The 12,340-nt window shown below is 63.2% G+C and overlaps 1 protein-coding gene across 3 annotated transcripts in view; it reads right to left on the reverse strand.

Moving 5' to 3' along the window:
• INTS1 (integrator complex subunit 1) overlaps positions 1-12,340 on the reverse strand; it is a 34,113-nt gene that overhangs the window by 8,714 nt on the left and 13,059 nt on the right. For 2 of the 3 annotated variants that reach the window (NM_001080453.3, XM_011515260.2), the window contains exons 17-31: positions 10,601-10,692; positions 10,354-10,414; positions 8,770-8,967; positions 8,330-8,459; positions 7,932-8,111; positions 7,635-7,784; positions 6,300-6,479; positions 6,108-6,212; positions 5,013-5,180; positions 4,752-4,863; positions 3,556-3,717; positions 2,352-2,498; positions 1,845-1,943; positions 1,327-1,451; positions 440-694 (exon numbers count right to left, since the gene is read on the reverse strand). In NM_001080453.3, coding sequence (NP_001073922.2) covers positions 440-694; positions 1,327-1,451; positions 1,845-1,943; positions 2,352-2,498; positions 3,556-3,717; positions 4,752-4,863; positions 5,013-5,180; positions 6,108-6,212; positions 6,300-6,479; positions 7,635-7,784; positions 7,932-8,111; positions 8,330-8,459; positions 8,770-8,967; positions 10,354-10,414; positions 10,601-10,692 — 2,164 coding nt within the window. Of the gene's footprint in view, positions 1-439; positions 695-1,326; positions 1,452-1,844; positions 1,944-2,351; positions 2,499-3,555; positions 3,718-4,710; positions 4,864-5,012; positions 5,181-6,107; positions 6,213-6,299; positions 6,480-7,634; positions 7,785-7,931; positions 8,112-8,329; positions 8,460-8,769; positions 8,968-10,353; positions 10,415-10,600; positions 10,693-12,340 lie in introns of those variants that run through there. The other variant, XM_011515262.3, reaches the window with a different exon arrangement.

Consider the following 12,340-nt stretch of genomic DNA (forward strand, 5'->3'; position numbering starts at 1 on the left):
CGGCACTTGGAGCCTGGGCCAACCTCATCCCGCCTCCTGTCTGAAACGGTGCCTCCCCTGCACGGGCCCAGACGACCTCACAGAGACCCTTTCAAAACCCCCCAGCTGGTGAGGGCTCCCACGCGGTTCAAAGGAAAAAGTAAACACAGACACCAAGTAAAACACAGTCCTAGGTACCAGCAGATGGGGAAAGCAAGGCAGGAGCGCCGAGCCTGGGTGGTGCAAACAGGCGGACGCCGCACTGCCCCCACCTCCCGTCCCGGGGGAATGTTCACTGGAAAAAGGGGACCTGCCGCCACTCCCTGGGGCACTGTCCTTTCTCACTTGGAAACTGAGACCCAAGACCCACAGAGGAGCAGTCACAGGACACCCGGGCCGTCCTGCGGGAGGCAGAGCCCTCACTGCCCTCCTCCCCCGCAAGAGGCCCACGCCCAAGTACCTGGTACTGGCAGAGCTGGCGCAGCAGCGGGCAGGCCAGGAAGTGGCTACGGTGCATGGACATCACCAGGGCACCGCCGTGTGGGGAGCTGAGCAGGGTGGCGAGGGCCTGCAGGACACGCACCGTGATGCCCGGCACCTCGGGGCTGCCCTGGACGACGCGGGCCAGCTCCTGGCCCAGGGCCTGCTGCAGGGCGAGGGCCACGGGGCGGGGACTGGAGCTCTGCCACCGAGGGTCCGGGCTGAGCGGGAAAATCTGGAACGGGGAAGGCCAGTGTCAGGAGGAAGCGGAGGAGAAGGAGGAGGAGCGCAGCGGAGAGGCTAAGCGCCCGGTGCAGCTCCGTGCCAGAACCGCGTCCCATCGTGTCCCTGTTCATTCGTAGCCCCCACCTTGTGGCCTGAGGGGCCCAGGGCCCTTGAGACCTGTGATGTGAAGCAGTGAGGGACCCCAACACCCAGGAGCTGCCCCAGAGAACAAAGGTGTCCAGAGCCTGCCCAGGGACCACCAGGCTCTCCATCAGGAGGTGGTGAGGCCTGCAGGATCCCCGGCTCCAACAGCCAGACCTCAGGCGAGACCTGCAACCTCAGCTTCTGTACACATCAAACCGGGTGCCCCGCGCAGAGGGGTGTGCAAGGATGGCAGGGAGGATGCAGGGCGACCCCCTTCCCCAATGTTGGCCTAGCCTCCATCTGAGAGCATGGGGGTGTTACGTGAAAGCAGCGTGCCAGGGTCAGGCGGTCACGCGTGTAAAGGCCGCTGTGCGTGTGCAGCGTGCCTGGGTCAGGCGGTCACGCAAGTAAAGGCCGCTGTGCGTGCGAGGCGGCAGCGAAGGCTGCACGCAGGAAGAGGGGCTGCAGGTGGAGACCCACATGCAGCAGCAACGCTACCTGGAGGAACATGCCAGCCAGGTCGTCCTCAGGGCCCAGCACCCGGAGCTGGGTCCCCACCCGAATCCGGCCCTGGCCTATGGGCTGCTCTGGGCTGCTCTTTGGTTTGGGTGCCTCTGTGCTGTCTGCAGAGACAGGAGAACTGTCAGTGGCTGGACACTTTCTGACCTGCTTCCAGCGGTGGGAACTGTACAAGCCATGGCGAGTCCTGCCCGGGGACTGTCACCCAGGAGGAAGAGCTCAGACCTGGGCTCTGTGTTCCCCAAGGACCCCAGGTCTCGCTCAGGTCCACAGGGATCTCAAGACTCTGAACAGGAACGTGCATGCTGGCCAGAGGCAAATGCTGCCCAAAGACAGGCTGAGAGTTTCTGTGGGGGCCCCTCTCAGGTGGCATCAGCAAGTGTGCACTGCCCTGTGTGGCTGTGCAGGCCCCGTCCCCCTCCCCAGGCTGGGTCTCTGTGTTGGCCCCACCCCTCCCCAGGCTGGGTCTCTGTGCTGGCCCCACCCCTCCCCAGTACCTCGGCGGGGCGGCAGGGAGGCTGTGAGCAAGGAGTGGAAAGTCTGGCCTCCGGAGGCGCCGCGCTCATGCTGGACCTCCACCAGGTGGGCCATGTAATCTGCAAACCGTAGCAGGGTCACACCTGGGCGCGGCCAGGGGCCAGGGAGCAGGTCCTTCCCTCTCCACAGAAACCAGAGTTGGAGATGCCCCCACCGTCACCAGCACTTCCCAAGGACTTCAGAAGCTGGGTGAGCTCAGTCAGCACTGAGGCCCCAACAGCTCCCTCCAAGCTCAAAACACGGCCCTAGGGGGTGCCTGGCCCCAGGGTTGGGGCAGGCCCAGGCCTCGGCTCCCTCCTGACTGTGCCAGCCTCACCAACCCACAGGTCTAAGCCTGCCCTCGAGTGCCACCCACACCCACCCGACCTCGGATCACCCACCCGCTCGCACCCAGGCCCCAAAAGCCTGGCCGGGCTGGGGCTCGGTCAGCGTGTGTGAACCCACTCCGCAGGTCCCTGGCATCTTACTCTTGTCCATGATGTTCTGCTCCAGAGTCTGGGGGTCGTGGGCCACTGCCTGGTCCAGGAACTGGAGGAGTTTGCTCATGCTGGACACGGGGATGCCAAACGACTGCACGAACAGCAGCAGCTGCTGCGGCTCCAGGTCCTGCAGGGCTGAGGGTGCACGCGCTCCGTAACGCCACCCAAAACCCGGGCAATGCGCACTCGGGACCCCACCCGAGACCTGGGGCTGCCTGTGTGCAGTGACCCCACCCACCTGAGACCCTGGGCCACGTGGGCTCGGTGACCCCACCCAAGACCTGGGGCAGTGCACACTCGGCAGCCCCACCTGAGACCCTGGGCCACGTGGGCTCGGTGACCCCACCCAAGACCTGGGGCAGTGCACACTCGGCAGCCCCACCCGAGACCTGGGGCAGTGCACACTCGGCAGCCCCACCTGAGACCCTGGGCCACGTGGGCTCGGTGACCCCACCCGAGACCTGGGGCCGCACAAGGGGGCAGCGTGTCGGGACCACCTTGCACCCTGGATGGCAGCTGTGTGGGCCCCATCCCCAGGGGTGGGTGGGCGCTCCAGAGGGCCTATGGTGGCACGGCGCAGTACACTTCCGAAGCTGCACGCAGGCTGCTGTGACTATCTTCTCTCAGTGCTCAGGGCGCTCTTGCCCCGAAGCCATCGGTGGCTTCCGGGGGCACACAACAGCCTAGACCCCTTGGCAGTCATGGGTTTCCAGAGCCAGCCCCACTCACTCACCAAGCTGCCCCCAGTGTCTCCTCACTGTGAGCAGGCACCAGCCCTACTGACCTACGTGGGCCCAGGCCCCTTGCTCAGTCCTTGCTGGGGTCCCCGGCTGCAGCTCCAACCCCCAAATCCTTCAGGGACCCACCCAGAGGCCCCACCACTTCTCCTCCTCCTCTCCAACCCCAGACCACTTTCTCTTTTTTCCATCGAGGACCTGTTTCTCACTCTAGACCCCTGAGCCTGACAGTAAGACCCTCTCGGACGGGGCCAGCACAGGCTGCCCTAGGTCTCCTCCCAGGGTCCAGCACAGCCTGCTGTGGCCAGGACATATGGTCTGCAGGATCCCCTGAGGCTACCCGGCCAGTCTTCTCCTCTGCCACAGCCGGAGGCTGCCCAGGCCCACAAGGAGCAGGCAAGGGGCCCGGGACCCCTGAGTCAGCAGCCCCTGCCCAAGCCCAGCCTGGACCGTACCGGCGTCCACCAGGCGGAGCACCTCAGAACGGATCATGCGCAGCTTCAGCCAGTCAGGAAGCAGCAGCGCCTCCTCCGATGTGTCCACCAGGAAGGCGGTGGGCAGTGGCTTCTCCTCCGGAAACCAGATGTCCAGCAGCGCCTGGAACTCGCTGTCGTCGGCTTCAGGAAGGACAACGGGTGAGCAGCCTTCAGACCCACCGGGGCCCAGCCCCAAGCACCGCTGGTGCCAAGGCTAGAGGCACCTCCTCTCCCGAGAAGGAAACTGAGACTTGGGAGGAGCACGGGGCTCCTGTGCTAGGTGAGCACTTGCTATGTGCGGATGCTTTGCGTAGGTGCACGCATTTGATCCTCACAGATGCTGCAGGAAGGCAAGCAGCATCACTGCCATTTTGTCGTGGCCAAGGGGACATGTGCGTGTCCCCATCCAGCCCCTGCCCTCGGGGCTTTGCTTGGCTGGACCAGGTCCCATCCAGCTCTCTGGCTCCGCAAAGCCACTGGGAAACCCCACAGGCCCAGGCCCACACAGGGCCAGCTTCTCCGGCTGCCCTTCCCAAGGGCGACGCCTGTGACTGTGTCTGCCTCCCAACAGGGGTCACCACCCACCCACGTCCACCCGAACCCCAGCATGAGGGTTCCGCCCCCTTCCCCCACTGACAGACACAACGGGGTGAACGTGGGAGCAGTTCATGGTGTCAGCCAGGAGTAAAGGGGAAGGCTGCGGCCGCAGAGGGCACGGCTGGGTAGGCGCTGGGTTCCAGACACTGCGCTGGCCAGAGCGTCCTCAGGGTCACTCGCCTGGGCCCCGGGGAGAGGACCCACTTGCCTGGCAGCCTCATGTCGCACCTCCACACGGTGAAATCCCGAGTTTGCCGCCTCCCAGGCACCGCAGGCCTACACGGTTAGGCTGGGGCAGTGAGGACTCTGACCCCAGGCTGTACCAGGCCCTCCAGCTCAGGGCTCTACAGGCTGGGAGGTCCCACCACGTGGGGATCTCCCACACGTCCACCAAGTGCTCAGAGACACGCGGGACGGACTGCAGCCTCCTCTTTAGGAGAGAAGCCAGGACACAGGGTTGAAGGGCTGGGGGGCTTCCCGCCCAGAAGCAAGGCAAGGATGCGGAAGCCGCTGGGTGTGGTCAGGGCTGTGGCCCACCTGGCACGAAGCTGCCCCTCCCGGGGCCTGTGGCGGCTCACCTCGAGGCGGGCCCAGCGTCAGCAGGATCACCATGGCATGGACCACGAGGATGTGCATGGTGGCTGTCTCCCCGCTGCTCCAGCGTAGGAAGACCTGGTCCTGAGACTCCGACTGTGGGAAAAGAGGTGGAGTCAGGCCGTAAGGTTCAGGGACCCTGAGCCAGCGCCGAGGGTACCCAGCTGGCACCGAGCGTGCCGTGCAGCCTCACCCAGCCGTAGACCTCCTCGCCCTCACCCGGCCGTAGACCTCCTCGCCCTCACCCAGCTGTAGACCTCCTCGCCCTCCTTGCTCTGCCGCATGCGCCTCACGTAGCGTGAGAAGATGGACAACAGAGCGCTCAGCACGGCGTCCGACGCGGCACTCGGGGAGAGCTTCGAGAAGAGGTGGGACATGATGGTGGAGCGCTCCACGACCAGCCGGGCCACGTCCTGGTGTGTGGACAGGGGGGCGTCAGAGGCTCCGAGACAGCTCTGCTCTCCGGCCAGCTGGGGTGACCTCGTCGCAGGCACGCTCTCACTGGGATCTTAAGCAGGGCCCGCGGCACCGCAGACCCTCACTCAGCCGCAGGCCGCCAGGGAAGACGACCAGAGCTGGGTCGGACTCTCCAGGGGGGAGGGAGGACACGACTCTCACAGCCAGGGACAATGACCAGGCCCTGAAAGCGGACGCTGCTGCCCTCTGCCCGGCAGCCACCATCTGTTCACCTATCGCTCATTCCCTGAGGACTCGGGCCACCAACTTTCACTAGGTCACAGCGCAGGTTGTGGACAAGAGAACCGTGATGCAAAGTGAGAAGCAGCCCAGCAGAGAAGGACAGCACCCAGGAGAGAAGATGGGAGTCAGCGCCACACATGTGAGCTAGAGATGCTGAGGACAGCGGGCAGGTGCCCAGCGACCTGGGCCCACAGCCCAAACCCTCCTGGCGTCGGGGAGAAGGCTGATGGCTCAGATTCCACCCTGCTGTGAACAAGGCACCCTCACCCCCGTGGCTTCGCATCCTCAGGGTCTGGGGAGAAAGGCTCCAGGGAGTGAGTGGTGACTAAGGAAGGGACACAGGTGGCCACGGGGTCATAGAAGCCCCAGCACAGCAGCCGTGACGGCCCTCCCACCCTCAATGCCTCCCTGTGGCCCAAGAAGCCGCCAGCCCAGGGCACTGCACCACTGGCCCCTTACCCTCCCCAGGGCAGGGTCTCTGTGCTGACCCCGTCCCCTCCCCAGGGCCACACTGCCGGCTGGCCCCGTCCCCTCCCCAGGGCCACACTGCCGGCTGGCCCCGTCCCCTCCCCAGGGCCACACTGCCGGCTGGCCCCGTCCCCTCCCCAGGGCCACACTGCTGGCTGACCCTGCTGCCTCACCAGGGCCAGGTCGCTGTGCTGGGCCTGCTCCTCCACAGGCGTGTGCTGGGACAAGTAGATCAGGTAGGCGCTGATGGTCTGGGGATCAGTCTCCATGTGGATTGCCTGGAGGGGAGGGTGGTCTGAGCGGCAACAGGGCAGGGCTGCGGCCCTCTCATCTTTCCCTGCCGCGGCCCCGGTCAGCGCCCTCACCTGCTGCAGGGCCAGGGCTGTGGTGCTCCTGACGCTGTCGAACAGAGGCAGGCGAGGCAGGTCCCGCAGCAGCCACTGATAGCCCTGCAGCACATCTGTGTCCCCCACATCCTCCTCCATGGGGGGCTCCTTCTCCTCCCCGTCCCGCAGGCTGCCCTCCGAAAGCACCAGCGACAAACCCTGTGGCAGACACTCATGAGCTGGGCCGGCTTTCGGCAGTGCAGGCAGGGTCTCACCCTGGCCCCGGGAGCACACGCATGGTGCCCTCAGAGCCCCGAGGAGAATGTGGCGCTTGCTTCCCACGGGAGAGGCCGCAGGTAAAAGGGAAAAACGAGACTGAGCTCTTTCTGTTAAATGCTTCTGTTCAAGTTCCTGAAGCCACTCTGGACCCTCCCGTCACCAGCAAGAAAGGAACACCAGGCAGGCGGCAGGGTCCACCTTCACGTTTCACTAGCGCATCCTTCCTACGCAGGGAAGGAACTTAAAATACAGTCAGAGTGCACTGAACACTCATTTGATTTTTACTTTTCCTTTTTAAGACAGGGTCTCATTCTGTTGCCTAGGCTGGAGTGCAGTGGTGTGATCACAGCTCACTACAGCCTCAAGTGATTCTCCCATCTCAGCCTCCCAAGTGGCTTGGACCACAGGTGCATGCTGCCACACCCAGCTCATTTTTCTCATCTTTTATTTTTTGTAGAGATGGGTATCATTATGTTGCCCAGGCTGGTCTCAAACTCCTGGGCTCAAGTGATCCTCCTGCCTCAGCTTCCCAAGTAGCTGGGAACACAGGCACACACTACCACACCTGGCTAATTTTTTCAGTTTTTGTAGAGAGAGGATCTTCCTGTGTTGCCCAGGCTGGTCTCAAACTCCTGGACTCAAGTGATGCTCCCACCTCGGCCTCCCAAAGTGCTGGGATGACAAGAGCAAGCCACTGCCCCAGGCCTACTCATTTTACTTCTTTATTTTTCATTTATTTATTTTTTTTTTTTTGAGATGGAGTTTCACTTGTTGCCCAGGCTGGAGTACAGTGGCACAATCTTGGCTCACCTCAACCTCCGCCTCCTAGGTACAAGCGAGTCTCCTGCCTCAGCCTCCAGAGTACCTGGGATTACAGGCCCCCTCCACCACGCCCAGCTAATTTTTTCTATTTTTAATAGAGACGGGATTTCACCATGTTGGCCAGGCTGGTCTCCAACTCCTGACCTCAGGTAATCTGCCTGCCTTGGCCTCCCAAAGTGCTGGGATGACAGGCGTGAGCCACCGTGCCCGGTCCCCAGCCTACTCATTTTAAACATGAAGAGCGTGCGCAGAAAGACCCGCCCACCACCTCACCTTCATGGCCAGCACGCGGGAGGCCACCTGGGAGGAGCCGAGGCGCCGCAAGAAGTAGTCCAGCACCTCACACGTGGTCTGCTCATCAGCCTTCGGGCCCAGTAGCAGGTCCTGCAGGCGGCCCAGCAGCTGCCGCTGCTTCTGTTGCCTCTGCAGGGAGGAAGGGGCTCTCAGGGGTGCAGGTGACAGGCCAGGCGGGTAGGACGTGGGGTGCGCGGCTGGTGGGCTCAGGCATGGGTTGCCCTGACAGGGGTGCGGGGTGAGAGGCGGGGGGGCTGAGGGGTGGGCGGCCCTGACCTGCCGCTTCTTGGCCTTCTGCTCCTTGCTCTCGCCCTCGTCGTCCTCCTCCCCGGAAGCAGCATCGTCCACAGCATCGTGCAGCAGGAACTCGCACAGACACTGCACGGGCAGCACGTCCAGGGAGCCCTCGCTGGACTGTACCAGGTCCGCCAGCCAGGGCATGGACTGCGAGGAGGCCTGGGCAGGCGACAGTGGCGCCCGCTCAGCACCTTCCAGGCCCAACACCTGCCGCCAGCCCCCCGGGTGACCGCGGAGCCGGAAAGGGCGACACGCAGCAGCCAGCTCATGGGCCCCGCATCCAGGTGTGTCCTGCCCTCTTCTGGCCACCAAGGCCTCCGGAAGGTTCCGGGCCTCCCAAGACCACCATCTCTACCTCCTGGAGCCTCGGCACTCACCTGCCGCTGGATGATGTGGAGGAGAAAGTCAGGGTTTCGGCTGCGGCACAAGAGGTGCCCGAGGCGGAGGGACTGGTTGAGGCTTTTCACTTGATCCAGGATGTGAGGGGGAGGCCTCCGGGGGGGCCCCCTGAGGGCCACAGGGGACACGGTGCGTCAGCACGCCCTGAGCGGATCACCCCCAGAACCCCTCCTCCTCCCATCCCTGCTTCGAGGGGCAGCCGACAGCCCGAGACGGGCAACCCATCCTGACCTGGGATGTCCCCAAGGCCTGGCCCCACAGCAGTAAGCCAGGGACGCGGGGACGGGGCTCCACAGGCCTTTCAGGTTCTGCCGCAGTGCGGTCGGCTCCGCCTGCTCCTTCAGCCTCTGTCCCACCCACACCAACCACCCACAGGTCCCGACGGCAGGCGCAGGGCGGGGCTGTGTGGGCTGCGTACTGGGGGTCCAGGCTGGTGAGCTGCGACAGGAGGAGGCTGCTGCTCTCAGTGATGGTCTGCTTGGTGGACGCGGCCGCCAGGTGCCCCTCGAAGGCCAGGATCTCCTGCTTCTCCCGCTGGGCGGTCTGCAGCTCACGGTTCAGCATCTCCGTCCGGGTCTCCTCATCCGTCAGGGTGCACGGTGGGTAGGAGTAGTTGCTAGGGCCAGACGGGGGAGCGTGTCACCCTGCCCCCCATGAAGGGCTCACTCCCAGTGGGCCACGCTCAGGGTCAAGGAGGGTAAAACCCCTACGGCTGCTGCTGCCTCTGCTGCACAGCAGTCAGGAGCACAGGGCGCCCGGTAGCATCCATGGGGCTGTCAGAGCTGAGACGAGAAGCCGCAGCGCTGCCCAGAGGCGCGGTCCAGCCACTGCCTCGTCCTCCGCAGGCAGCACGCCTGCCCTCACCAGAGCCAAGGCCAGCGGTGTCAGAACCTGGCCTCCTCCCAGGCCACCTCCCCTTCCACGCCACCTACGCTGGGAGCATAGCCTAGTTTGACAGCCATGTAGGCTCTGCCCGCCCCATCCAGGGACAGACCTGCAGGGCAGGGACTCTCTTGCCTACAGAGGCACACGTGGCTTCGGCGTGTTCCAAAACCCAGCTCCCCATGGCCGCTCTAATCTGAGCTCTGTCCCCAAGGCCCCAAAGTCAGTCTGCTCCTTCAGAGGTGGGGGGAAGCAGCTGTGCCTCCCACCTCAGGACACACACGCACCCACTCCCCACAACACACAGGCAGACACACACCCAGTCCCCACAAAACCATGGGCAGACACATGCCCAGTCCTCACAGTGCAACGGCCCCAAACGTACCCGATCCCAACGCCACACACACACACCTGGTCCCCACAATACCAGGGCCACACACACTCCCCGTCCCTATGATGCCACAGCCTCGGGCGCCCCTTCACCTTGGCCACTGCCCTTGGTGTGGTGCCCTCACTGGTGAGATAGGATGCTGGCCCCAGAGCTCATCGGCCCTCGCCCACACTGTGTGGGCACCAATGCTGCCAGGCACAGCTGGTGGTGAGCCCTGGGCGTCTCCTAGGCAGGCTGTGCCGACTCTCGTCCCACCTGCACTGAACTGTCCTTGAGGCTCACCCACTGCTGATCCCACGCAGGGTCACACCTGGCCCACTGGCCAGTGTTAAAGCCCACCTGGCCCACTGGGCCTGGCTCCATCCTGTCTAACCCATCTCTGGCCGGATTCTCTTGCCACGTCCTCCAGCATCGCACCACCCCCAGCCTGCCCAGTCCCCACTCCTGTCGGCAGCATAAGCGCTGCCCAGAAGAGCTGGGGGTGCCTGCGGACCTCCCTGCTGGCCTCCGTGATGCCGCCTCAATCCACACCCCCTCTCCCGGCAAGGGAAAGAGAAGAGAACAAAGTGCAGCAGGCTTAGATCCAGAAGCTCAGGTCCATGAGTCAACAGAAGATGCTAAGATGCTGATGCAGCACGACCCAGGAGACAGCAGGGAACACAGCCCCAGCGGAACGAGACCAGGCCCTGCTCCCCATCCCGGGCCCGCCGAGGGGACGTGCGCACTCACTTGGTCATCACCATCTCCATGAGCATCTTCAGGGTCGGGTACTCCTCCCACGCAGCCAGGCCTAGGGAACCGGAGGGTGTGGGGCTGGCCAGGCTCCCCTGGGCACCAGGCGTGTGACCCCCGCTTCTCCCAGCTCCTCCTCTCATCCCCAGCTGGGCTCATCCCAAGTCCCAACAGACAAACTGCCCCAAAGGAATAAGGACCAGCAGGGCCACGTGTGCGCATGGGGCGGCCAGCAGAGGCTCACCGATGTTCTCTGGGTTGAATGCGGCGACGACCAGCAGGAGGGGCCAGGCCTTCCAGTAGAGGGTAGAGATGGCGAGGTTCGGAGGCTGGTACCTGGAAGGCAGGGGCGCCCCGACTCAGGCCCAGCGCACCAAGCTCAGCGCCAAGGATCGGCCGGGCCAGGTGGCAAAGCTGGGGCAGGGACGGTGCTGGCTCCCAGCTCCTCCCGGGACTGCCCTCCAGTGACACCTGTCCAAGCATGTGCATCAGCCTGGCTCTGGGCTCCCTGTCCAGGCCCGACTCCGGCTCTGTCCTTACCTTTCTAAGTCTCTGTTTCCCATCTACAAAACGGGAGCGGTGGTGGATACATAATAAACGTTCATTAAGTGACAATGATTTTTGTACTCTACATGACATAACAGACACCACCCCAGGAGCCACCGAGATGGAATTATTGTAACGATACAATTAAATCAAAGCACGGGCCCCTCGGGTGAGGAAACGGATCCTGGCTATGAGACAGATGTGAATCGAGGCACTGCCTGGAGCCACATGCAGAGGCTGCTGAGTGGGAAAGACCACACCAGAAAGCAGAGCGGGCAGCACCTGCCGAAGGAGAGAGGCAGGAGAACCTCAACCACAGCATCAGAGAGCACGCGAGGCTCAAGTGCAGTGCGGGATTCCGAAGTGCGTCCGACCAAAACTCCAAACGCTACTGAAAGGGTGTCAGCTCTGCATAAAGGGACGCCCCTGAAAGGGTGTCAGCTCTGCATAAAGGGACGCCCCTGAAAGGGTGTCACCTCTGCATAAAGGGACACCCCTGAAAGGGTGTCGGCTCCGGATAAACGGGAACCCCTGAAAGGGTGTTGGCTCCGGATAAACGGACACCACTGAAAGGGTGTCAGCTCCGGATAAACGGGAACCCCTGAAAGGGTGTCGCCTCTGGATAAACGGGAACCCTTGAAAGGGTGTCGGCTCTGGATAAAGGGAAACCCCTGAAAGGGTGTCAGCTCTGGATAAAGGGAAATCCTCCCACGTGCACGGATCGCAGGGCGTGGCCTCACTGACATGGTGGCACTCCCCAGACTGACCCATGGATTCCACACTGTCTCCCTCGAAATCCCAGTCATCTGTTTTGCAGAAACTGACAAGCTCACCCTGAAATTCACGTGGAAATGAAAGGACCTAGAACAGCCAAAACAATCCTGGGAAAGAACAAAGTTGGAAAACGTACTTCCCAATTGTAAAACTCAGCCCTTATAGAGGATGGACACATAGACGGACAGAACAGACGTGCAGACGGACAGAATGGAGCTGAGTCGAGAGGTCAACCCTCTCACCTACATGCAACAAGAGTCCAGAGGTCAACCCTCAAACTTGGGCGCAACAGGCCACCGACAGGGCGCCAAGACGGCCCAAGGCGCAGGAATGGCCCTCTCAACAACAGTGCTGCGACAACCAGAACCAACCAACAGAATGAAGTGGGGCCCCACCAAACACCACACACCAAGTGGATGACAGACTCCGGAGACTGATCACCAAACTATAACATTCCCGGGAGAAAACGGGAGGAGGGCTTCGGGAGCGTGGGGCAGCCCCAGCGTCCTAGGTACAACGTCAAAGCACACACAGCAGCAGCAGCAGCACGAAGATGATCGGGCCTCCCCAAAGGCGAGCTCTGTGCTGCCCACGTGGGTCCACAGGACGGAAGTGAGGTCCAGGAACAACCCACATGGGTGCGACTTCCGACACGAAGCCAAGA

The sequence above is a fragment of the Homo sapiens genome, chromosome 7 (assembly GCF_000001405.40).
Source record: "Homo sapiens chromosome 7, GRCh38.p14 Primary Assembly".
Lineage (NCBI taxonomy): Eukaryota > Metazoa > Chordata > Mammalia > Primates > Hominidae > Homo > Homo sapiens.